Source organism: Homo sapiens, chromosome 15 (assembly GCF_000001405.40).
Source record: "Homo sapiens chromosome 15, GRCh38.p14 Primary Assembly".
NCBI classification, from domain to species: domain Eukaryota; kingdom Metazoa; phylum Chordata; class Mammalia; order Primates; family Hominidae; genus Homo; species Homo sapiens.
This window is the reverse complement of record NC_000015.10, coordinates 89,835,728-89,861,742: the sequence shown is the minus strand read 5'-3', so window position 1 is coordinate 89,861,742 and position 26,015 is coordinate 89,835,728. Positions and strand designations below refer to the sequence as shown.

At 45.1% G+C, this 26,015-nt stretch overlaps 2 protein-coding genes, 1 long non-coding RNA gene and 1 other non-coding gene across 6 annotated transcripts in view, besides 3 other annotated features; 3 read left to right on the top strand and 1 right to left on the bottom strand.

Annotated features, from left to right (window-relative positions):
* Positions 1–26,015, top strand: part of ARPIN-AP3S2 (ARPIN-AP3S2 readthrough) — an 82,354-nt gene that overhangs the window by 51,210 nt on the left and 5,129 nt on the right. Inside the window, exon 9 of the mRNA NM_001199058.2 lies at positions 24,021–24,128. Within this exon, the coding sequence (NP_001185987.1) occupies positions 24,021–24,128 (108 nt within the window). The remainder of the gene's footprint in view (positions 1–24,020; positions 24,129–26,015) is intronic.
* AP3S2 (adaptor related protein complex 3 subunit sigma 2) overlaps positions 1–26,015 on the top strand; it is a 63,396-nt gene that overhangs the window by 32,252 nt on the left and 5,129 nt on the right. For all 3 annotated transcript variants that reach the window (NR_037582.2, NR_023361.2, NM_005829.5), the window contains one exon: positions 24,021–24,128. Coding sequence is in view for 1 of the 3 variants with exons in the window: in NM_005829.5 (NP_005820.1) it covers positions 24,021–24,128 (108 nt within the window). In the remaining 2 variants the exon portion in view is untranslated. The remainder of the gene's footprint in view (positions 1–24,020; positions 24,129–26,015) is intronic.
* Positions 9,977–10,026: an enhancer, noted in NCBI's record as "active region_10057". NCBI's record gives its function as "activates an Ori minimal core promoter by ATAC-STARR-seq in GM12878 lymphoblastoid cells {active_cell/tissue: GM12878}" and the evidence as "EXISTENCE:reporter gene assay evidence [ECO:0000049][PMID:35858748]".
* On the top strand, positions 11,022–11,106 carry MIR5094 (microRNA 5094). Its single transcript, NR_049817.1, has one exon. It is a non-coding gene; the product is annotated as a microRNA 5094 (primary transcript).
* Positions 12,338–13,537: an enhancer, noted in NCBI's record as "CDK7 strongly-dependent group 2 enhancer chr15:90391438-90392637 (GRCh37/hg19 assembly coordinates)". NCBI's record gives its function as "activates an origin of replication core promoter dependent on BRD2, BRD4, P300/CBP, MED14 and CDK7 cofactors, with strong dependence on CDK7, by STARR-seq in HCT116 cells {active_cell/tissue: HCT116}" and the evidence as "EXISTENCE:reporter gene assay evidence [ECO:0000049][PMID:35650434]".
* On the bottom strand, positions 22,399–25,834 carry LOC124903552 (uncharacterized). Its single transcript, XR_007064754.1, has 2 exons — positions 24,798–25,834; positions 22,399–24,295 (listed from the first exon to the last, which is right to left on the bottom strand). It is a non-coding gene; the product is annotated as an uncharacterized LOC124903552 (long non-coding RNA).
* Positions 23,699–24,898: an enhancer, noted in NCBI's record as "CDK7 strongly-dependent group 2 enhancer chr15:90380077-90381276 (GRCh37/hg19 assembly coordinates)". NCBI's record gives its function as "activates an origin of replication core promoter dependent on BRD2, BRD4, P300/CBP, MED14 and CDK7 cofactors, with strong dependence on CDK7, by STARR-seq in HCT116 cells {active_cell/tissue: HCT116}" and the evidence as "EXISTENCE:reporter gene assay evidence [ECO:0000049][PMID:35650434]".

Here is a 26,015-nt window from a genome sequence, read left to right as displayed (position 1 = left end):
TCTAGTGTGGTACCTTTTACTGACTGGGGTAATCTTCAGGTGACTGTCACTAAAGAGTTCCCAGGACTCTAGTCTCATAAGGTTGCTCATGATTTAAACTGTTGGAGGCTGGAGTAAGGTCTGATTTCATAGTCTCTGGGGTAACCATCAGCTCTCCTGGCTGTGCCATTTAGAGCCTAGGGTACTTGGTTCCCTTTTGCTTTCAGAAATCCCTAAACACAGCTCAACATTATGACTGAGCTGGGTGTTGGTGTTAATTATGGTGAATTGAATTTTGTTCAAAGAAAACTGTGTGGGTGACCTAACATTCTGATCTACCAGTATCTAATAGCAAAGCTGGATTTAGAATTCAATTGGGCTTTCAAGATTTGGTCATCAGAGTCACAATTCAATGGCTATGTCAAGGGAATTTATCCAGCGCTTTATTTTTTTTTAAATAGATTTCAATTTGCAGTGGGCCCTCTCAAGAGAATTGAAACATATGCTTCTGAATGGTGCTGAACCCAAGAAAACCTCATAGTATGGAATTTTAAATCTCTGCTAAGCATAGGCTGCTAAAATGGAAAAATGCTGAGAGTTCAAAATTAACTCGTGAGCACTAAGATGAAAGGATCATAAACAGTAATATTGGGTTTTGTTTGCCAGATGTCCCTTCTGTGAACAGAGCTTGTGATAACAAAGCTCATTAATACCTGCCACACCCTGTGACGTTGAAGCAGATGTCCTGACTGCAGGTCTCCAGGAATGGAGGGACAAGTGAGGGACAGACAGTTTGTGTTTTTGATGATGAAAGAGGAGCTATTTGGTCTGGAAGAATAAGGTATTCTGTTTGAGTTTTAGTTCTTGTAAAAGGTGCGAGTTAACATACCTGACTATCCCTGGCTGCCTCTGTTTCTCTATCTGGATGTGCCTAAGAGAAGAAGAGAGCTGAGACCAGCCTTGTGTTCCATTGCATCTATAAAGCCCTTCTTTACTGATGCTTGATAGGTAAGAATTTTGTGGCAGAATTTTTTTTTTTGGCTTAAGTAATAAGGAAATTTATTATCTTACATACAGAAAGGCCAGTTGTAGGGCAGAGTTAAAGCGTGGTTAAGACAGACAGTTTTATCTGCAGTTTCACTTTCTGTAGTTCCAGTTATGCACAGTCAACCATGGTCCAAAAATATTAAATGGAAAATTCTAGAAATAAACAATACGTTTTAAATTGCATGCCATTCTGAGCAGCATGATGAAATGTTGCTCTGTCCTGCTCCAGGATGGGAATCATCCCCTCATCCATTGTATCCGTGCTGTGTACACTAGCTGCCCACTGCTTACTTAGTAGCCATCTTGACTGTCACAGTGTCACGGTGCTTGTGTTCAGGTAACCTTTATTTTACTTCATAATGGCCCCAAAGTGCAAGAGTAATGATGCTGGCATATTGTCATAATTGTTTTTATTATTAGTTATCGTTGTTAATCTCTTACTGTGCCTAATTTACAAATTAGACTTTATCCTAGGTATGTGTGTATAGGAAAAAATAACGCATCCACTGGGGGTCTTAGGACATATTCTAGGCAGGTAAGGGGGGACTACTGTACTTTCTGTATGTTATCTTCAATTCTTAGTGTTGGCTGTAGAATATTTTTTTCAGAGGCCAAAATCTTATTCCCTCAGGGTAACATAAAGACAGAGATCGGCTGGTCATGATGGCTCATGCCTGTAATCCCAGCACTTTGGGAGGGCCAAGGCGGACAGATCACGAGGTCAGGAGATCGAGACCAACCTGGCTAACACGGTGAAACCCTGTCTCTACTAAAAAATACAAAAAATTAGCTGGGCATGGTGGCAGGTGCCTGTAGTCCTAGCTACTCTGGAGGCTGAGGCAGGAGAATGGCATGAACCCTGGAGGCGGAGCTTGCAGTGAGCCGAGATCGCGCCACTGCACTCCAGCCTGGGTGACAGAGCGAGACTCCATCTCAGAAAAAAAAAAAAAAAAAGATCAGCAATAATGATTTCTTAAATTTCTAAAATCCCTGTAATTTGTTTAGAAAAAAAAAGAAAGAAGGGCTGGGCGCGGTGGCTCGAGCCTGTAATCTTAGCACTTTGGGAGGTCAAGGCGGGTGGCTCACCTGAGGTCAGGAGTTCGAGACCAGCCTGGCCAACGTGGTGAAACTCCGTCTCTACTAAAAATACAAAAATTACCCAGGCGTGGTGGCGTGCACCTTTAATCCCAGCTACACGGGAGACGTGAGGCAGGAGAATTGCTTGAACCTGGGAAGTGTAGGTTGCAGTGAGCCGAGGTCGCGCCACTGCACACCAGCCTGGGCGACAGAGCAGGACTCCATCTCAAAAAAAAAAAAGAAAGAAAGAAAAGGAAGGAAGGAAGGAAGGAAGGAAAGGAAGGAAAGAAGGAAGGAAGGAAAGGAAGGAAAAAGGAAGGAAGGAAAGGAAGGAAGGAAGAAAAAGAAAAGAAAAAAGGAAAGAAAGAAAAGAAAAAAAGGAAGGAAGGAGGGAAAAAGAAAGAAAGAAGGAAAGAAAGAAAGAGAAAGGAAGCAAGGAGAGAGGGAAGGAAGGAAGAAAGGAAGGAAGGAAGGACACTTGGGCTGGTTGTGGAGGCTCACGACGATAATCCCCAGCACTTTGGGAGGCTGAGGCGAGAGGATCACTTGAGCCCAGGAGTTTGAGAACAGCCTGAGCAATAAGTGAGACCCCATCTCTTTAAGTAAAAAAGAAAAAAAAAAAGAAAAAAACAAAAGCAAGGATTGTTCCAGACTATACTGAATATCTGCTGCCATATACACACTCGCTTTCCTTACTTGAACTTTGGATTGCCTCAGTGCACAATCTCATTGATTACCTGCTGCTTCAAGTTTGGTGTGTTAGTCATTCCTTATTACTGGTTAGTAGAATAACAGTGTACACAAAACAGCACAATTTGACCTTTAGAGATATTCATTTGATATGCAGCCGTTTTCAGTAAAACCTAGTGTTTGTCAAGGTTGTAGTCAGTAAACAAAGCTTATTACCCATGGTATTACTTGGATATGTTGCAGATAAAACGAATTGTATTTTGCTTTGGTTGCTGATTTATAGGCACCCTGAAAGGCTGGAATTGAGATTCAATTTTATTGTTCTTGCTATTATTCCTTATATTGCAGAAGAGGATTAGCCTACTCTAAGATAAGAAGTAGAGTTTCTCTTTCTTTCTTTCTTTCTTTCTTTCTTTCTTTCTTTCTCTCTCTCTCTCTCTCTCTCTCTCTCTCTCTTTCTTTCTTTCTTTCTTTCTTTCTTTCTTTCTTTCTTTTTCTTTCTTTTTTTGAGATGGAGTTTCGCTCTTGTTGCCCAGGTTGGAGTGCAATGACGTGATCTCGGCTCACTGCAACCTCCACCTCCTGGGTTCAAGCAATTCTCCTGCATCAGCCTCCTGCCTAGCTGGGATTATAGGCGTGCGCCACCACACCCGGCTAGTTTTGTATTTTTTTTTAGTAGAGACGGAGTTTCTCTATGTTGATCAGGCTGGTCTCAAACTCCCAACCTCAGGTGATCCGCCTGTCTCAGCCTCCCAAAGTGCTGGGATTGCAGGTGTGAGCCACCACACCCAGCAAAGCAGAATCTCTTGATTCCTAACTAAGAACCCTTTTCCAGGCTTGATTTTTGTATCAATCAAGGTAGGCTAGGTAATGCATTACTCCAAAATCCCAATGGCTTATGAGAGCAAGGTTTATTTTTTCACTCGTGCTATGTGGCCATTGTGGTGTGTCTGCTGACTGTAGTTCCTCTGAGGTCCAGGCTGATGGAAATCTCCTCAACATATGCTTCTACCTGGGCATGTGTGTGTTCCGGCTCTTGAAGTGACACATCCTCGTACACTCACATTTCAGTGATCAAAATCAGTCACATGCTCCCACCCAAGGGATGGGGAAATGATCCTATTATGTGCCCAAGAGGGAGGAGAACCTGAACTAGTTGAATATTACCAATGATGACCATGGTTTTTTCATGGATTTTCTTAGAGGAAAAGTTAATGTTTGATTTTTATTATCACTTTGTAGAAGGGAAGCTAGAAATTTTAGTAACAGAAAAATAGAGGAGTGCTCTAATAAGAAGAAAACATGGTTGAATCTTAGGAAAGGTATCCCACATGGCAGCTTTTCAGTTTCTCTGATTATTGGGCATTTATATCTTCTATACTTCCCAAATGAATTTAAGATGACTTAAAATAAAATTTCTTAACAGAATAAATGGTTTTTATATGTGGGAGGCGAGTGCCTCCCTCCTTAGAGGCTTTCTGCAAATCATTTGTCTTTACCTTGGCTCTCTGACCTTGATGAAGTACTGATGTCTGAGAGTGTTTTTGTCTTTTCTCTGATTACCAAACAACAATCATTTATTAAGCATTCATTAGGAAAAAGACACTGCGCTAAATATAGAGATACAAAGATATAAAACTCAAATTTTCTACCTGTAAGAAGCTCATAAACTAGGCACGGTGGCTCACACCTGTAATCCCAGCACTTTGGGAGGCCGAGGTGGATGGATCACTTGAGGTCAGGAGTTCAAGACCAGCCTGACCAACATGTTGAAACCCTGTCTCTCCTCCACCGTGCCCAGCCCCAGCCCAGTTTTTACTTTTGATGAAGCTTTCTCTAAACTTCGGTATTGTAGTTCTCCAAACTGTTTGTCTTCTTGCTCATGCTCTCAAGTTTTTAATTCTAACTGTTTCTAGTAGATTGTAAACGCCTTTGGAATAGTGTCAGTATGTAATACTTTGTTGGTTATCCAAACAATACAGGACAGTCAGAGTTGATTAGTTGATGTGAAATAGATATGTGTCCCAATTTTGTGGGTTTCTTTTTCTTTTCTTTTCTTTTCTTTTTTTTTTTTTTTAAGACAGAGTCTTACTCTGTTGCCCAGGCTGGAGTGCAGTGGCATGATCTTGGCTCACTGTAACCTCTGCCTCCCGGGTTTAAGCAATTCTCATGCCTCAGCCTCCTGAGTAGCTGGGACTACAGGTGCGCACCACCACGCCCAGCGAATATTTTTTTTTTTTTTTTTTTTGAGATGGAGTCTCACTCTGTCATCCAGGCTGGAGTGCAGTGGTGTGATCTTGGCTCACTGCAATCTCTGCCTCCTGGATTCAAGCAATTCTCCTGCCTCAGCCTTCCGAGTAGCTGGGATTACAGGTGCGCACCACCATGCCTGGCTAATTTTTTGTATTTTTTTAGTAGAGACGGGGTTGCACCATCTTGGCCAGGCTAGTCTTGAACTTCTGACCTCATGCTCTGTCCACCTCGGCCTCCCAAAGTGCTGGGATTACAGGCGTGAGCCACCACGCCCAGCCCTAATTTTTGTATTTTTTAGTAGAGACAGGGTTTCGCCATGTTGGCCAACCTGGTCTCAAATTCCTGACCTCGAGTGATCCATCCTCCTCAGCCTCCCAAAGTGCTAGGATTACAGGCGTGAGCCACTGCACCCAGCCAAGGCCCATTTTTTAAAACCAAATTCTAATTAGACCTTGCCTTTGAAGGTTATGACTTGTGCATACTGGCTAGTTTCGGGGTGGGCTCACTTTTCACTTTGCCTTTGCTCCCTTGGGAGATAACCTCTGGGTGCACTCAGGAGGAACTAGGAACCCTGTGTTCCTCAAGTGGGATTCTGCATGAATTGCCTTTGTGGGCTTCTGACTCTACCAGATTCTAACTGTGTAATTTATGCAACCCTCTTAAAGACCTCTTTGTGCCTCAGTTTTCTTCAGTTGTAAAACAGGGATGATATCACATTTCATTGATTCTTTTTTTTTTTTTTTTTTTTTTTAAAGGACATATCATATTTATTCATACACATGCTGGAATTATTGGTGCAGACATTTAAATACATTTTCTTTGAGAAAGTCCTTTTTTTTTTTTTTTCTGATGGAGTTTCCCTCTTGTTGCCCAGGCTGGAGTGCAATGGTGCAATCTCAGCTCACAACAACCTCTGCCTCCTGGGTTCAAGCAATTCTCCTGCCTCAGCCTCCCAAGTAGCTGGGATTACAGGCATGCACCACCACGCCCAGCTAATTTTTTTTATTTTTAGTAGAGACGGGGTTTCTCCGTGTTGGTCAGGCTGGTCTTGAACTCCTGATCTCAGGTGATCTGCCCGCCTTGGCCTGCCACAGTGCTGGGATTACAGTCGTGAGCCACCACAGCTGGCCTGGGAAAGTCCATTCTTTTTTTTTTTTTTTAATTTATTCTTTTATTGATAATTCTTGGGTGTTTCTCACAGAGGGGGATTTGGCAGGGTCATGGGACAATAGTGGAGGGAAGGTCAGCAGATAAACAAGTGAACAAAGGTCTCTGGTTTTCCTAGGCAGAGGACCCTGTGGCCTTCCGCAGTGTTTGTGTCCCTGATTACTTGAGATTAGGGATTGGTGATGACTCTTAACGCGCATGCTGCCTTCAAGCATCTGTTTAACAAAGCACATCTTGCACCGCCCTTAATCCATTTAACCCTGAGTGGACACAGCACATGTTTCAGAGAGCACAGGGTTGGGGGTAAGGTCACAGATCAACAGGATCCCAAGGCAGAGGAATTTTTCTTAGTGCAGAACAAAATGAAAAGTCTCCCATGTCTACTTCTTTCTACACAGACACGGCAACCATCCGATTTCTCAATCTTTTCCCCACCTTTCCCGCCTTTCTGTTCCACAAAGCCGTCATTGTCATCCTGGCCCGTTCTCAATGAGCTGTTGGGCACACCTCCCAGACGGGGTGGTGGCCGGGCAGAGGGGCTCCTCACTTCCCAGTAGGGGCGGCCGGGCAGAGGTGCCCCTCACCTCCCGGACGGGGCGGCTGGCCGGGCAGGGGGGCCAACCCCCCCCCCCCCCACCTCCCTCCCGGACGGGGCGGCTGGCCGGGCGGGGGGCCGACCCCCCCACCTCCCTCCCGGACGGGGCGGCTGGCCGGGCGGGGGGCCGACCCCCCCACCTCCCTCCCGGACGGGGCGGCTGGCCGGGCGGGGGGCCGACCCCCCCACCTCCCTCCCGGACGGGGCGGCTGGCCGGGCGGGGGGCCGACCCCCCCACCTCCCTCCCGGACGGGGCGGCTGGCCGGGCAGAGGGGCTCCTCACTTCCCAGTAGGGGCGGCCGGGCAGAGGCGCCCCTCACCTCCCGGACAGGGCGGCTGGCTGGGCGGGGGTGCTGACCCCCCCCACCTCCCTCCCGGACGGGGCGGCTGGCCGGGCGGGGGGCTGACCCCCCCCACCTCCCTCCCGGACGGGGCGGCTGGCCGGGCAGAGGGGCTCCTCACTTCCCAGTAGGGGCGGCTGGGCAGAGGCGCCCCTCACCTCCCGGACGGGGCGGCTGGCCGGGCGGAGGGCTGACCCCCCCACCTCCCTCCCGGACGGGGCGGCTGGCCAGGCGGGGGGCTGACCCCCCTACCTCCCTCCCGGACGGGGCGGCTGGCCGGGTGGGGGGGCTGACCCCCCCATCTCCCTCCCGGACGGGGTGGCTGGCCGGGCTGAGGGTCTCCTCACTTCCCAGTAGGGCGGCCGGGCAGAGGCGCCCCTCACCTCCCGGACGGGGCGGCTGGCCGGGCGGGGGGCTGACCCCCCCACCTCCCTCCCGGACGGCATGGCTGGCCAGGCGGGGGGCTGACCCCCCCACCTCCCTCCCGGATGGCACGGCTGGCCGGGCGGGGGGGCTGACCCCCCACCTCCCTCCCGGATGGGGCGGCTGGCCGGGCGGGGGGCTGACCCCCCCCCCACGTCCCTCCCGGACGGGGTGGCTGCCGGGCGGAGACGCTCCTCACTTCCCAGATGGGGTGGCTGCCGGGCGGAGAGGCTCCTCACTTCTCAGACGGGGCAGCTGCCGGGCGGAGGGGCTCCTCACTTCTCAGACGGGGTGGTTGCCAGGCAGAGGGTCTCCTCACTTCTCAGACGGGGCGGCCGGGCAGAGACGCTCCTCACCTCCCAGACGGGGTCTCGGCCGGGCAGAGGCGCTCCTCACATCCCAGATGGGGCAGCGGGGCAGAGGCGCTCCCCACATCTCAGACGATGGGCGGCCGGGCAGAGACGCTCCTCACTTCCTAGATGTGATGGCGGCTGGGAAGAGGCGCTCCTCACTTCCTAGATGGGATGGCGGCCGGGCGGAGACGCTCCTCACTTTCCAGACTGGGCAGCCAGGCAGAGGGGCTCCTCACATCCCAGACGATGGGCGGCCAGGCAGAGACACTCCTCACTTCCCAGACGGGGTGGCAGCCCTCATTGATTCTTTAGACTCACTTTTTGGGTACCATTTATAATTTTAACATCTCAAATCAAGATTTTTCTTATAATCAATGGTATGTCATTTTTCTTTTGTAGTAGCACATAAAAATAGTATGTTTTACAATCAGTGAAGTCTTAGATTTGATATAATACAGTAATATCCACCATTCAATTATTTGAGGATCGGAATTAGTGAATAATTGCTTAGTTCAATAAATGGTGAATTTGTCTTTATTTTTACTTTTTTCCTACTAGTCTCTCTGCCTCCTATATTGTGCCTTAAGACTATCCTTTACACACCTTCCTAATGATATATTTAAAAATGTATTTTTTACTAACTCCCTTGCTGATGTATACCCCCAGCTGCAGTGATTCTTAAGGAGAAGGACATGCCTCACTCCCCTCCACCACCTTCCTCAAAACCTTATGATAGTTCAGTGACACTGAGTGATTGAGGGAAGTGTGTTATTTAAGTGAATTTTCATGAATTTTTTTTTAAGTTGGGGACCACTGCCAAAAGGGTGAAGCTGCAGCCCCTTCTTATGTACAAAGACCTCCATGAGCATGCCCAGCCTGCCTGTCTAGCCTCACCTCTTGCTTTGAACTTTACACTCCAGTGATACTGAACTATTTTTGTAACTTGTGTTTAGGGATGTTACAGCTTTGGAAGTCTTTGAGCCAGCATGTAAAGGGCGAGCAGGTGGACTGGGGCACAGGGCTGTTCCATGGGCAGTGATTTAGAAGGAGCAGGAACTGTGGGGATGGAGATGGTCTCCTTAGAAACAGTTTTATGGGATCTAGGTGTGGCATTTGGACTTTTTTTCTTTTTTTGTTTTATGGCCAAATTGTGCTTCACTTATCTGCCTGCCTATGTGGTTGCCTTAGGCAGAGTGATAGAATCCCAGGGTAGAGGGCAGGGACTTACTCTGTGTTGCTCCAGAAGACACAGGTAGGATCGGGGGTGGAAATTATTTGATGCTTGTTGTAGCTCAGTACAGTTAAAAACTCTCTGACAGTTGTTGCTGCTCAACAGCCCACTGAGCAGCTTGGAAACAGTAGTGAGCTCTCTTCATGGAGGCGAAGGATCTGTCACCAGAGTGAAGGATCTATACTGTTGCAGGAGCCAAAGAACAGAATCCTGCACTGGGAAAGAGGTTGGTCAAGATGACTTTGATTATAACTACCAAATTAACCAACATCCGAGTACTTACTAAGAACTAGGCACGTAATAGATAGCTAAGTGCTTTATATACAGTGTCTCATTTATTTCCTACATCATCTTTTTTAATCTTTAGAATAAGCCTGGCAGCTAAGAACTCTGGTTCTCCCCATTTTACAGATGAAGAAACTGAGGTTTATTGGTAGGAAGCCTCAGTTTCTCTAAGGTCACACAGCTGGTAAGTGATAGAGCCACATTCAGATCCTGGACTCTGATTATGGACCCGCTCCCTCTACACTCTGCAATGCTGCCTGTAGTATTCCCGCCTGCTTTGACATCCTAAATGTGGGGAAATGTGTTTGTGTCATGTTTTCTTAGCAGATAAGCAACCAAGGAAGGATGAAATTCAAAAGGACAAGGTCTGGATCTTTTTCTGTACTTAGCACTGTGCTTGGCATTTGGGATCAGCAGTGCAAACAGGTAGTAGCCAAAGGAGGATGAAACACTGGGTTAGAAAGAAAAAGTCCTGCTAGAACATTAAAAAAAAAAAAAATGATTTCACGGAGAACCCTGACTCATAATAGGAACTGGTTTTTTTAAAAAAGGAAGTAATAATATGTAGTGAGTATACTTTACTGCAGTCAACTATATATATTCAAAGAGCATAAAATATGAAGCCAGTGAGTGAGTGATCCTTTTATTAATTAAAAAAGAAGTTGAGTTGGGCGCGGTGGCTCATGCCTGTAATCCCAGCACTTTGGGAGGCCGAGTTGGGCAGATCACAAGGTCAGGAGTTCAAGATCAGCCTGGCCAACATAGTGAAACCCTATCTCTACTAAAAATAGAAAAATTAGCCAGGCGTGGTGGCACATGCCTGTAATCATAGTTACTCAGGAGGCTGAGGCAGGAGAATTGCTTGAACGCAGGAGGCGGAGGTTGCAGTGAGCTGAGATCGCACCACTGCACTCCAGCCTGGGGGACAGAGCAAGACTCTGTCTCAAAAAAAAAAAAAGAAGATGAATTAGTAGAGCATGAAGAATAATGAATGAGTTGCTAGGTAATTTGCCATTCCCTCTGCCTGGATGCCTTTTCCTCCAATTGCCAGTTAGTTTTAAGGCCACCCTTCTCTGAAATAACATAGTACTTTGTACTTGGGTCATGGTATTTATCACAGACTTCCTTTTATTATAGTTAATTCTGTACATGTTTAATCTTTCTTACTTGATTCTAAGCTCTTTAAGGACAGGGTCCACATCTTATCTTCATTTCCTTCTTCCAGCTCTTAACAATCTGTGATGTTAAGCATATTTGAAAATAGACATTGTTAGAGATTATGTTCTTTTAGTGAAAAATCGGCCAGGTGCTGTAATCCCAGCACTCTGGGAGGTTGAAACAGAAGGATTGCTTGAGCCCAGGAGTTTGAGATCAGCCTGGGTAACATGGTGAAACCCTGTCTCTACAAAAAATACAAAAATTAGCTGGGTGTGGTGATGCAGGTCTGTGGTCCCAGCTACTCTGGAGGCTGAGGTGGGATCACTTGAGCCTGGGAGGCCATGGCTGCAGTGAGCCATGATCACGCCTCTGCTCTGCAGCTTGAGTGATAGTGACAGAGCAAGACCCTGTCTCAAAAAAAAAAAAGAAAAAAATCAGTGAATGCCTTGAACCTAACACACTGCCTTTTATGTGGTAGGTACAGTGGGCTCACTGAAACATTCAACTTGTTCAACTCTATCCATTTGTCCAAAAACAAAAAGGAAATGAAAAATTCTAAATACAGTACGAATATGCCCTCAATTCTACTTAATTAGTATATGTCTGGAATGAGTGTGACATGGAAGATTTGAATCTGCTCTTCTTTGCCTCTGCTCTCATGTGCCTGTGCTCATGTGTATCGTAGAGTGCTTAGAGTGATTCTAATGCTTAAAACAAATTTTCAATCTCTGTGGCCCCTAAACCAGCCAGCCGTTTCATCTGATGTGTAAGACAAGGCTCCACTGGATTCATTCATTGCCCACTGAAACAATGTATGATCCTGTGAGTGAAAGAGAGAAAGAAATCAATGGCTAGGGATTGAATGTCTTGTGGAATTTTATGACAAGAAGACATCTAGGGAAAACCATGGAAATGTCCAGTCTGAAGATCAAACAGTTCATAAAAGTGATTCAGAAGACACTAAGAGCAGGTGAAAGGGAAAAACAGAACTTTACAAAGCAAAGTTGCTTTCTTGGCTTGCTTTCTTCAGAGCTGCTTAGGACCAGACAGCTCTATGTGCCTGAGAGTTCCTGAAGGAATCTTAGCATTAAAATACAATTTACCATGAAATACTATGCAGCCATAAAAAAAGGATGAGTTCATGTCCTTTGCAGGGACATGGATAAAGCTGGAAACCACCATTCTCAGCAAACTAACACAAGAACAGAAAACCAAACACGACATGTTTTCACTCATAAATGGCAGTTGAACAATGAGAACACATGGGCACAGGGAGGGGACCATCACACAACAGCACCTCTCGGGGGTAGGGGGCTAGGAGAAGGGTAGCATTAGGAGAAATACCTAATGTAGATGACCAGTTGATGGGTGCAACAAACCACCATGGCACGTGTATAGCTATGTAAAAACCTGCATGTTCTGCACATGTACCCCAGAACTTAAAGTATAATTTTTTTTTAAAAAAGTACAATTCATAGGCTGGGCGCAGTGGCTCATGCCTGTAATCCCAGCACTTTGGGAGGCCAAGGTGGGCAGATCACTAGGTCAGGAGATCGAGACCATCCTGGCTAACATAGTGAAACCCCCGTCTCTACTAAAAATACAAAAAATTAGCCGGGCGTGGTGGTGGGCGCCTGTAGTTCCAGCTACCCAGGAATCTGAGGCAAGAGAATCACTTGGACCTGGGAGGTGGAGGTTGCAGTAAGCCTAGATCGTGCCACTGCACTCCAGCCTGAGCGACAGAGTGAGACTCCATCTAAAGAAAAAAAAATACAATTCATTACTTAGATATTAACAATGAGCTGCAAAAAAAGCACTCCCCCCAAAAAAAGCCCAATTACATTTAGAATATTCTTTTTTAGAAGTCATGGGAGTGTGTAATACGCTTTTAAAGTTTTCTGTTAAAATGATTTAATGGTGATTTAATGTCTCTTTCATGCATATTGTTTTGTCTCCCTAGCTAGAAGTCAACTTTTCAATGAAGTCAAGTATGCCTGGTACTTGTTAATGTGTTCCATGTTGTTCACTGTAGTTACACCTACATAGACATCCAGCCAACAGTCATTGAGTCTAATTACCATATGTTCATTTTTAGGTAAAAGAGATGCAAGGGAATGAGGATAGTCAGTCCTTTGCTTGTCTTAAAACACCGATAAAACATTGGACTTTGGAATGAAAGTACGAGTAAGAGAGAAAAAGGCATATGTACCAGGTCCTCAATACTACTCATAAAGATATCTTCTTCCTCTTTTCATTTCTTTCTAAAATGTATAATATGGGAACTAGAGTCTGACTCTGGGCCAAGATGACTCTCAGATGATTTTCTCTTCCCGTCAGTGCTGAGTCACCTCAGAGCGTCGTTACCCTTTGGCTCATTAATAGCCACCATGCCCCCAAGTATAGACAAGAAAATGATGCATTTCCCATCTCTCAACAATCTCTTCCCTACTTATTTTCTGAAGCCCTTTCCTAGGAATTAATGAAACCAGCTATGCCACGAAGGAGTAGAAAAAGCTATCAGCCTGGGAGGCCAAGGCAGGCGGATCACAAGGTCAGGAGATCGAGACCATCCTGGCTAACACGGTGAAACCCTGTCTCTACTAAAAATACAAAAAATTAGCCAGGTGTGGTGGCGGGTGCCTGTAGTCCCAGCTACTCCGGAGGTTGAGGCAGGAGAATGGCATGAACCTGGGAGGCGGAGCCTGCAGTGAGCCAAGATCACGCCACTGCACTCCAGCCTGGGCGACAGAGCGAGACTCTGTATCAAATAAAAAGAAAAAGCTATCAGCACTCAGCTTTTTATATAGTAGACTAGAGTCTTGTCAGTGATTAACAATTCTTTTTCAAAACTTGAGTGTTGCAGTATTGGCATCCTCATGTTTTAATACAAGCACTGTGACCATGCTCTTTTATATTTGATTAGTGTTTTTGTCTTCTATGTATAACACAGTTATTTTGAGAAAGACTCCACAGTAGGAATGTGAGCCTCTGTCTTTTGTAGCACAACAGGCATTTGCCCTACAGTGCAAGGGACCTGGAGAGGGATTGATCTAGATTAGAGGTTTCTATGGATTCGATTAAGCTTGGGATGTGGCATGCATTAACATGCTGCTAGTGTCTCAAAAGATTTTACTTATCCTCTCTGCCTGTGAAATTTTCGGTTAGATGGAATCCTGCCATCCCAATACAGAACTGCATTTTATTATAGAAACAGTATTGTTCATATTAGGTGTAGTGGCAGGGGTGCTCTCTGGTACCACATTTTGGGTAGCTTTATGGATTTAAGTCTGCTTTCATGAGCTGCTAGCCTTGAAAATCTTACTTATTACCTTTATAGAAAAATGCATTGTAAATTTAAATACTTAAACATTTGGAACATGACCAATTTAAGGTTTGGAGACTGTGTTTTTACTAGAGTAAAAGGTAATTTAAATACCTTGCTTATGCCTTCTTGTTTATTATCTTCAGGTACCAGATCAGTCTGTTTTTAAGTGATCTCTGTTGACATGGGATTAGATTCAGAACTTTCTTTGATTTCAGTGAGAAACAACCAGGGATGGAACCCTTGAAGAGCATGGAATCCTCTGTCCTTCCGGAGGGTTGTTGCAACTGACTTGTCCCCACCCCTAGTAGTTCTAGAGCTAGGTTCCTGAGGCACATCTGTATCCTTGAAGAAACACTTTTATTTTTCTTCTTAGATTCAATTCTGATATGAAACTAGCAGACTCATTTTAATCTACTTTTTTTTTTTTTTTTTTTTTTTTTTTTGTAACAGGGTCTCGCCCTGTCTCCCAGGCTGGAGTGCAGTGGTGCAATCACTGAAGTCTTGACTTCCAGGCTCAAGTGATCCTCTTACCTCAGCCTACCGAGTAGCTGGAACTACAGGCTTGTGCCACTATGCCCAGCTAGTTTTTAAACTTTTTTTTTTTAGAGAGACAGAGGTCTCACTATGTTGCCCAGGCTGGTCTTGAACTCCTGGGCTCAAGCAATCCTCCTTCCTAGGCCTCCCAAAATGCTGGGAATACAGGCATGAGCTGCTATGCCTGGTCTTAATCTACTTTTGTCTGCAGAGGTTAACTTTGTGTTGCAGACAGTAAGTAGGTCCAGTTATAGAAGCAAGTACCTTCAAGGGATGGAGGATGAGGTGATAGCATCCTAGAAAAGAAAAAATGAGGCCAGGCGAGGTGGCTCACACCTGTAATCCCAGCACTTTGGGAGGCTGAGGTGGGCGGATCACCTGAGATCAGGAGTTTGAGACCAGCCTGGCCAACATGGTGAGACCCCATTTCTACCAAAAAATACAAAAATTAGCCAGGTGTGCTGGGCGCAGTTGCTCATACCTGTAATCCCAGCACTTTGGGAGGCCGAGGCAGGCGGATCACAAGGTCAGGAGATCGAGACCATCCTGGCTAACACAGTGAAACCCTGTCTCTACTAAAAATACAAAAAATTAGCTGGGTGTGGTGGCACACGCCTGTAGTCCCAGCTACTCGGGAGGCTGAGGCAGGAGAATTGCTTGAACCCGGGAGGCGGATGTTGCAGTGAGCCGAGATCGCACCACTGCACTCCAGCCTGGGCCACAGAGCGAGACTCCGTCTCAAAAAAAAAAGAAAAAAAATTAGCCGGGTGTGGTGGCATGTGGCCTGTAGTCCCAGCTACTGGGGAGGTTAAGGCTGTAGGATCGCTTGAATCTGGGAGGTGGAGGTTGCAATGAGCCGAGATCATGCCACTGTATTCCATCCTGGGCGACAGAGTGAGACCATGTCTCAAGAAAAAAAAAAAATAAAGAGACACAGATGTCCAGAGGTGTTGGGGGAGAGTGGAGAGACTCGATAACAGGTTAGATTGTCTTTAGAGGAATTGACATTTTGACTACAGTACTCATTCCTACTCTTGACTATTTTCAGGGGTTCCAAGAGAAAAATTTAAATAGGACAGAGCTAAAAACACCGACTTTCACTCACTAAAATGTTGTCATAAATTTATGTATCTTGATCTTGGAAAACATCAGTATCTATGCCTCATTTTACCTTTTAAGATTTCAGATTTATCACCCGAAGCATTTTCTCTATTGCCTTCCCCTTATATCAAGATATCCTGTTGGTTTATTGGGGTTATCCTAATCTTTATGTCAGATGAAACTCATCCTGGTTGTAATTATTTTTAGGTTGAATTACCATTGGATTTGCCAAGTACTGAAAAATCAGTAGCACTTTTGTTTAAACTCTGTTAATAAACACTTCTGAGTGAATTTTGCTAGTGTCATTATTTCCCATGCTTGCTGAGTAGAAGGTTGAATTATTATTACTTCATAATTCATATTTGTTCAATGCACACTGTGTGAAGCTGAGTTTAGGCCTCTCGAAGACTTAGCCTCTTTCTTTCTGTTCCTGTGGTTTTGAATACCATTTACATGACTCACGTCTCAGATTTTCTTTCCCTACCAGCCTCCCTGTGTTGGTTTGTGACTTTATCTGTCAGTGTTCTCTCAGGTATTTACTTAGATTTCTGCAGGCATCCTCAAGGTCAGCGCATCAGCCAACTTCTGTTGTTTAACAGAACCCTTCTTTGTGCCCTGACTCTATCTCCAGTTCTTTAGGTACATGAGTTCAGTGTTGATTCTTGACTGCTTGCTCCCACACCCATGCTTGGCAGCCTCCAACTTTCTTAAGTCCCATCTATCTCCAATCAGAGAAATGTTAGCCATCTTTCATGGTCAACTTCATATTCAGTGGACAAGGTCTGAACTGACTAGCAGGACTAACACGGGCAGCTGTTCGCTCATCCATTGCTCACTTACACTTGAGTCATTTTGCTTACCAAAGGTCAGTTGTGATGTTTCCAGATCTCTTTATGCCAGTAAACTGGTACTGTAATTATGTAATTTGATTAAATAATATACAGATTAAATTATGAGGGAGAAAAGAAAATTATTCTGGCTGTGCATGGTGGCTCACGCCTGTAATCCTAGGACTTTGGGAGGCCGGGGTAGGCAGATTGCCTGAGCTCAGGAGTTCAAGACCAGCCTGGGCAACATGGTAAAACCTCGTCTCTACTAAAAATACAAAAAATAAGCTGGGCGTGGTGGCGGGCGCCTGTAGTCCCAGCTACTCAGGAGGCTGAGGCAAGAGAATCGCTTGAGCCTGGGAGACAGAGGCTGCAGTGAGCCGAGATCGTGCCACTGCACTCCAGCTGGGCAACAGAGTGAGACTGTTTCCAAAAAAAAAAAGAAAAGAAAATTACTCTGTGAAAAGTAAGAGGAATGCTTTGGAAGGACAAGTACTTTAAAAAGGAAATGAAGCTGAATTAGGTTTGGGCAAGATAACTATGGAAGAGTAGAGGTGGAAGGATCTTAAAAATCTAGGATTCTGTACTTACTGTTTCACAGCAGTTTGAGTTCTAACTTTAAGAAACTGGAAATTGTAGATGATGCATTCTGGGTGAGTTTTTTGCAATAATGGCAAAAAACTCTAATCAGCAGAAGAGATCCTTCTAGGTTGGGCACATTGGCTCACACCTGTAATCCCAATGCTTTGGAAGGCTGAGGCGGGAGGATCCCTTGAGCTCAGGAGTTCAAGACCAGCCTGAGCAATATAGCAAGACCTCATCTCTACTTAGAAATTAAAAAAAAAAAGAAAAAAAGCTGGGCATGGTGGCACATGCCTATAGGCCCAGCTACTCATGAGACTGAGGCAGGAGGATTGCTGGAGCCCAGGAGTTCAAGGCTGCAGTGAGCTATTATCATGGCACTGCACTCCAGCCTGGGTGACAGAGCAAGACCCTGTCTCTAAAAAAAGAAAGAAAGAAAGAAGGAAGGAAGGAAAGAAGGAAGGAAGGAAAGAAAAAAGTAAAGAAAGAAAGAGAGAGAGAGAGAAAGAAAGAAAGAAAGAAAGAAAGAAAGAAAGAAAGAAAGAAAGAAAGAAAGAAAGAAAGAGAAAGAAAGAAAGAGGGTTTTTTGGCCCTAGCCAAAAGTTCAGTGGCTCTCAAAGTTTTGTTGTTTATAACAATGATGGTAGGCTTGAACATTCACGGGAAAAGTCACAGTAAAAGTCAGATTAACCATATCTTTATTACTTTAGTTTTAAATGCTATCCATGGACTCTCAGTTACTGAGGGTGAGGAAATCAGTGTTCGTATTCTACCTCCCTCCTTTTTCCCCTCTTCTCTTCCTAGTTTTTGCTAGCTGGAGTTTTATACATCATCAAAGCATATAGTATTGACGATCTGTTGTTACCCTAATCCTATTTTAGTCTTAGACCTACAGTTAAGTAGTTTTCAGTGCTCACCGTAAGTTTTTGCCGTAGTTTTTTTGTTTTTGTTTTTGTTTTTGTTTCTGAGACGGAGTTTCACTCTTGTTGCCCAGGCTGGAGTGCAGTGGCACGATCTTGGCTCACTGTAACCTCCTCCTCCTGGGTTCAGGCGATTCTCCTGCCCCAGCCTCCCAAGTAGCTAGAATTACAGGCACATGCCACTTCTGCCCAGCTAACTTTTGTTTGTTTGTTTTTTTCTGAGATAGAGTCTCGCTCCATCACCCAGGCTGGAGTACAATGGTGCGATCTCAGCTCACTGCAGCCTCCACCTCCCGGGTTCAAGCAATTCTGCCTCAGCCTCCTGAGTAGCTGGGATTACAGGTGCATGCCACCACACCTGGCTAATTTTTGTATTTTTAGTAGAGACGGGGTTTCACCATGTTGGCCAGGCTGGTCTTGAACTCCTGACCTCAAATGATCCACCCACCTTGGCCTCCCAAAGTGCTGGGATTACAGGCATGAGCCACCAGGCCTGGCCCTGCCATAGTTTTTCCAGTCACCTGTTAGTTGGCACAAGTGCTTCCTTTTGTAGATTCCTTAAGAAATACTTGGCTGGGTGTAGTGGCTCATGCTTGTAATCCCAGCACTTTGGGAGGCCAAGGCGGACGGATCACCTGAGTTTGGGAGTTTGAGACCAGCCTGACCAACATGGAGAAACCCCATCTCTACGAAAAATACAAAATTAGTCAGGCGTGGTGGCACATGCCTGTAATCCCAGCTACTCAGGAGGCTGAAGCAAGAGAATCGCTTGAACCGGGGAGGCAGAGGTTGTGGTGAGCGGAGATCGCGCCATTGCACTCCAGTCTGGATAACAAGAGTGAAACTCTGTCTCAAAAAAAAAGAAAAAAAGAAATACCTGGGAATAATGGTCCCCATTCTGTTACCCTTGCTGGACAGTTGACTGGGTATAAAGTCCTTGAGTCTTCTGGGCACAGTGGCTTACGCCTGTAATCCCAGCACTTTGGGAGGCCAAGGTGGGCGGATCACAAGGTCAAGAGATGCAGACCATCCTGGCCAACATGGTAAAACCCCGTCTCTACTAAAAATACAAAAATTAGCTGGGCATGGTGGCGCATGCCTATAGTCCCAGCTACTTGGGAGGCTGAGGCAGGAGAATCGCTTGAACCCAGGAGGTGGAGGTTGCACTGAGCCGAGATCGCGCCACTGCACTCCAGCCTGGCAACAGAGCGAGACTCCGTCTCAAAAATAAAAATAAAAATAAATAAAGTCCTTGAGTCACACTTTCTGTCCTTGAGAATTTTGTAGGTGTTGTTCCATTTTCTGTTAGCATTAAATATTAATGTGGAAATTTTCATTATTTTGTTTCTCTTTTAAGTGATTTGATCTTTTTGCCTGGTTGCAGGAACCCAGAAACCTTACCTAAAGGTGTATCTTGGTACTGCCTATTCTGAATTTGTTTCCCCTGGGATACAGTGTGACCTTTCAGTGTGTAGACCCCAATCCTCTTATAGTTCAGAAACACCTTAGATTCTATCTTTATGAACATATCTTTACATATTTTTCCCATTCATGTTAAAGTTTTCTTTTATGCAAATATTACATCTCCTTTGCTGTCTTTTGTAACTGTTTCTTCTCTATTTCTTTTAGCCCTTTTTGGTTTCATTTTTTTTTTCCATTTCTCTCCTTTTGTTCCTAGTGTGTTTTTAGCAGTTTCTTCTCCCTTTGCTTCTTCCAGTTTCACCTTCATTTCTGTAACAGTATTTTTCCTTTCACTTCTTTCCTCAGTTCTGCCAGTATGCAGCTTGTCTTCTCTTCTCGTCTCCCTACCTCTGCTAAAGTTCTTGTATTTCTGCTTTGAGCTCTCATTTCATAGAGACAACTATTTTATCAAGTTTTCTTTTTTTCTTTGTGTAAAATATTTTATTACCATTGTATCTAGTCCATGGAGGCCCTTTTCCAGTCTGTGGTCTTAGTCTGCCATTTGGTTTTCCTATTTCTTTCCTAATTTTTTCTCGTTGTATATTTATATAGATCCTGTTTAGATTTTTTGTATACTTATCTTTAAATAGGCAAGTTTTTCAGGGACCAGCTGTTTTGCAGGATGTTTGTTGGAGGAGCTACCAAAACTCTGTTCTGGGCTAGCTACAGTTGTTCCCTTGATTTAGGGTTCTGGGTGAGTCCGTTTACCCTTAGTCTCTAGCCAGCCAATCGAGATAGGCAAGGCGTCTCTTAGCATCTCCACAATGCAAAGGATGTCTTCTCTACTACCACAGACACCACCTCTGTGAGGCAAATGTAGCTTGCGTGATTTCTCATTTAGCCTCAACTTCAGGTCCAAGGAAGTTCCTGCCTTCCAAAAACAAGGAATTAATTTGGTGCTGGAGTGTGTCCTTTACCCACAGGAAGTACATATTTTTGCAGATCTTTCTGAGATCACCAGCTTCCCTGTCCTCTCCCTGTAGCATCCTTTCTTCTTTTTCTTCTGTGAAGCAAAGGAGTCCCTGCCTGAGCTCCCTGCTTTTGACAGCTTTTTCACCTGTTTGGGGGTTTGGAATTTTGGATATCCTGTAGTTATAACAAAAATGGAGTTTGCATTTTTATTTCTTCTTTTTGCATTTGGAACATATTTTGAACAGCATTTGAAAATGCTGACTTTATGATGCAGTGTTAAATAAGAAGTTTTAACTGACTTTTTCTGTTAACCAGCCACTAGTCTCCACGACATCATGTGTTAGGCCTTTTACTATACCTTCTCCAGAAAGCCCCCACCACCACACTGTTGTCTATCTTCGAAGTCCCTAAAGCCCAAGGAATATGCTACTTAGATATATGGAAAGCCTTTCATTCATTTAGCATGCCTACTCTGAGCGTTGTTCTAGGCCTTGGAGATAAAGCATGGAAGAATTAATACAAGATATTGACACACCAAAGACAAGTCTTAAATGATTTCATGTGGACTAGGGGTCAGGGATGAATAGAGTGGAAGACATAGTTTGGGATTCTGAGGAAGTATGATATAAAGGGTAGAACATGAGCTCCGGAATCAGCACCATTCTGCTGCTAATATACATGACATTGGGATCATTTTATTGCCTTTTCCTCATATATAAAATGTATCAATTTCTTCATATATAAAGTGAAGTCAGGCCAGGCGTGGTGGCTCACGCCTGTAATCTCAGCACTTTGGGAGGCCAAGGCAGGGGGATCATCTGAGGTCAGGAGTTCCAGACCAGCCTGGCCAACATGAGGAAACCCCGACTCTACTAAAAATATAAAAATTAGCTGGGCATGGTGGCGGGTGCCTGTAATCCCAGCTACTCAGGAGGCTGAGTTGGGAGAATCGCTTGAACCCAGGAGGCGGAGGTTGCAGTGAGCCAAGTTCACACCACTGTACTCCAGCCTGGGTGACAGAGTGAGACTCAGCCTCAAATAATAATAGTAATAATAATAATAAAGTGAAGATTATATTACCTACCTTAGATGAATGTTGTAAAATTAAGGTAAGTTACATAAAGTACTTGGTTCATAATAGATACTCAACAAGTACTACTTTCTACCCACACAGGGATTGGCTAAATAAAAGGAATAAATACTGAAAGTGCAGGTATAGAGGACTATTTCTCTCCTTTTTTGTTAAATTGTGGTAAAATATGTAACATATAGTTTCCTGTCTTCACCATTTTTAAGCTTACAGTTCTGTGGCATTAAGTATATCCACATTGTTGTGCAGTCGCCACCACCATCCGTCTCCAGAGCTCTTCATCTTGCAAAACAGCACCTCTGTACACATTAAACAATAGCCACCACTGTCCTCTTCCCCCTGCCTCATGGCAGCCCCCGTTCCAGTTTCTGTCTCTGAATTTGACTACTCTGGGTACCTCACAGGAGTGGAATCACACAGTCCTCATCCTTTTGTGTGTGGGTTGTTTCACTTATAGTATCTTCAAGGTTCATCCGTGTTACATTGTGTCTCAGAATTCCCTTCCCTTTTACAGCATCTCAATTCAGATGAAAAAAAAAAAAAGAATTCTTTTCCTTTTTAAGGCTGAATAATATTCTGTTGTATTTCTATGGCACATTTTGTTGATCCAGTCGTCTGTTCATGGACACTTGGGCTGCTTCCACCTTTTGGCTGTTGTGAATAATACTGCTATGAACATGGGTGTACACATTCTCTTCAAGTCTTTACTTTCAGTTCTTTTGAGTGTATATCCAAAAGTGGAATTGCTGGGCCATATGGTAATTCTGTTTTTAATCTTTTTGAGGAACCACCATACTGTTTTCAGAGGCCTATTTCTTGATGGGGAAGTATAAACAGTGGAATTCCCCCAGGGAATAATTTTAAAACCAGTCTTGTTTAACATTTTGTAAATTATCTAAATATGAGACTTTTACCATTAAATCTTCATTTGCATATAGCTAATGAATAATTCATATTGTATAAAATGTAAGAACACCTCGTGAGAGTGTGTGTGTGCGTGTGTGTAGACAGAACAGTGGTTAATAAAGCTCAATGTGGGCACACACGCAAGGGAATACATTTGATTTATTATACTCTGTCCTCAAGATCAGAAGTTCCCTGCACTTACTGAGGGCAAAATACAGGGAGCCAATGCCAGAGAACTTCAGATGTCAGAAGTGCACAGTGCCCAGATATGCAGACACATCTTTCTTCTTGACTCTGCATTGCTGACAGAGTAAACTGGTGGTTGACTCTAGACTCTGGACCAGTGGTTCTCAGCTGGGGTGAATTTGCCCCCTGGAACACATATGACAATTCTGGAGACATTTTTGATTGTCAAGCTGGAGGAGTAGAGACCAGGGATGCTAGAGAACAGGCCACAGTGACAGGACAGCCCCACAGCAGAGGATTATCTGGTCCCAGATGTCACTAGTACCTAGGCTGAGAAGCCCTGCTCCAGACCCAAATTACCTTCTCAGCCTTGTCTTAGCCTCTCTCCTGCATAAAGAAAGTTGCCATCCCAGCCAGACCCAGGAGCTCCCCATACCTGCCCATACACCAGCTGAATTGCTCCTTCCAACATCTTCTACCTGAAATTCTTTCCCCTACCTCTCTAATGTCAGAGCCCAGCTTCCATCCTCCCACTGTCTCTGTGAAGCTCTCTGATCTCTCTAGCCACTGTACCCTTTCTTCTCTGACTTCCCCAGGACTATCCCAGTCATTTGGCACTTAGTTAACAATAGAAGGTTGTACTTGCTGTCTTCCCAACTTGACCGAAAGCACCTTGAGGGCCATTTGATGTGATTTGGTTTGAAATATGGAGTACCATTCCTTATGAACCACAGTGGGCATCTCTGCTTTGACCCACCCAGGGCTTTCTGTGACAGCTTTCCTACCACAAAGGGGTACAGTAGTTGAGTCACCTCCGTCCCATCACAGCAGTTAGGTACACTGAGATTCAGCTTTGTTTAGATGACTGCTAGCTAGATGGAACCTAAGCCCAAATGTGACCCTTATGCTTAGAAAGGTGTTTATGCTGAATCTGCTTTCTAATCTAAGCAGTAAGAAATGAGGTGAGGAGAGGTGCAAAGGAATTGGGCTCTATCTTGCTCTGATCACGTCCCTTCAGTGGAGCACAGGCTGGAGGATCTGCCTTATAGAAGGTGGAAGACATTCATTTCAGTTGCTTGGACAGGGATTATTCTGTCATAGCTGGACCTACTTAATGACAGTCAGTGTTGATGATGGTAATATTAATAATGAAAGCCACCATTCCTTACTTAGAACCCAGTGTGTCCTGGGCACCAGGCTAGGTGCTTTACACACATTTATCTCATCCAGTCCTCACTGCAATCCTGGAAGGAGGCTGAAGCACTTTAAAGGTCATTTGCCCAGGGCCACCCAGCTAGCAAGTAGCAGAGCCAGAATTTAAACAAGAGCTGTCAGACTTTGAAGCCTGTGCTCATAGCTACCACCTCGCTGCTGAGGGGAGAGATTCGTGTTGCCATGTGCCAAGACCTGGGAGAGACCCCTCGTTGTGTCACTGGGCAGGGGGGTTTGAGTGTCTGAGTTGTGAGTCAGGACAGGTCATATCTGACCACTCTGCTGCTGCAGGAAAAGGAAACCTCGTGGGTTACACTCTGACCACCACAGAGTATTCTGACTCCTGATTTTTGCTTCCCTTTTAGGTGCACTACATCCTCCAGGAGGTGGTGATGGGTGGGATGGTGTTGGAAACAAACATGAATGAAATCGTGGCTCAGATTGAGGCTCAAAACAGGCTGGAGAAATCCGAGGTGAGTAAGCAGCTGTGCTCTAGCCCTGGCTGGGTAGAGAAAACCTGGGCAGAGGCAGGAGTGTGTACATGTGTTGGTTTGTGTTGCTGTGAAACCTCGGGAAATGATACTCATCTTCTTTCTTCCTTGAGTCCATTGAAACTCATGGATTTGAAGGTCAGCCAGCCCTGAAAATTAAACAGGTAACAAGTTTGAAATCTCAGATTTTCAGGGTAGAAGAGCAAATAGAAAAGCCAGATGGCAGAGGAAGGCAAACAGCTTCTGGCTTGGGGGTTATGGCCCATGTTTGTGGTTTGTAATTCCTCCTTTGAAAGCCACTCGTTCCCTGGAGGGACCCAGAACCCTCTTCCCTAGTCCAGTGTGGTTTCCTAGTTTGTGTGCTCTAAGAGTCTGATCTCCCAGCAGCCATTTCTCGTGGTGTCTTTCAGACCTCAGAGTTGCCAATTTCCTTATTTCCAGTTAGCTTTATAAAAAACTACAGTAGAGTTTGGGCTAGGCTTGAAAATAACATACCCCAGTCCACCCCCACATGGTGCTGGGCTTGATAGAGATGTTCACATAAATTCTGTCCTATCCCTCTGAGGTCTCGCCGTCCCCTTCCTCAGCCTTCCCAGAGCACAGAGGTTACAGACGTATACTTTCACATGCAGAAATAGCAGAACAAATTACCTCTTTAATTATCTGAGTGTCTTAAAGAGCTTCTTTGCCTTGTATACGGAACTTGATCTTGCGAAACCAGGAATTCTTCTTTCTGTGAGGACTGGCAGTCCTGTGGAAGAAGCTTTTCCAGACCACAGCTATTGGTGGCAGCTATAGTTCTTTTAGAAATGTAGGCTGGGAAGATTCCAGGAATAGTAAGTGAGTCAGAGGCAAGGGGGTTGGAAATGAGAAGAAATGGAGACTTGCTGGGTGAGGGCAGAAGCAGAGTTGGTATCCGGAAAGAAGGCAATAGGGGAAAAATGATTGTGAGAGAGTTTTCATCCACTTTTGCCGTTCCCTCCACGTGGGGGTGAGCCTGCCAGGTGGGGGTTCACTGTAGATGTGCATACTCTTTGCGTTTTGTCACCAGCTCTTCTTTATCTGTGATACCCCCCACCTTCTCCCAGCTTGTTGCCACATGACACTTCCAAAGCCAGCTCTTTTCATCTCACATTATTAGTTGGCAAGCAGTTGCCCTAGAGCTGTGACTGTCCTTTTCCTTTTAAGAACTTCCCGGTGACTTTGCACGTTTCAATAAGAGTCTTTGGTCTCTTGAGGAAAGGGTTTTGTTTTGTTTTGTAACCAGAAAAGTGCCCCTGACAAATCACCTTAGATTATTTCAGCATTTATTGGGTACCCACCATGTGCCAGGTACTGTGAGAGGCTGGGGCTGTGAAACTGTATAGGCCACACTCCGCCTCTGAGGAGCTGGTAGTCTAGTAGGACTGCAGGCTTTGGATCCCTGTGCCAAACCCCATCTAACCTCAAGATTGTTTTGTTGGCTACTTTTGAGGAATAAGGGGGGAAAGTTAAAACTTCAGTTGTGTGTGCTCAGTTTGGAATTTTTCTAGGCATCCTTCACCTGTTATTTTGTTTGTTTGTTTGTTTGAGACAGAGTCTCACTCTGTTGCCCAGGTTGGAGTGCAGTGGCGTGATCTCAGCTCACCGCAACCTCCGCCTTCTGAGTTCAAGCGATTTTCCTGCCTCAGCCTCCCTAGTAGCTGGGACTACAGGGGCCCGCCACCACTCCTGGCCAATTTTTGTATTTTTGGTAGAGATGGGGTTTCACCATGTTGGCCAGGCCTATCTCGAACTCCTGACCTCAGGTGATCCACCCACCTCGGCCTCCCAAAGTGCTGGGATTACAGGCGTGAGCCACCACACCCATCCTGCTTGTTTGTTTTTGTT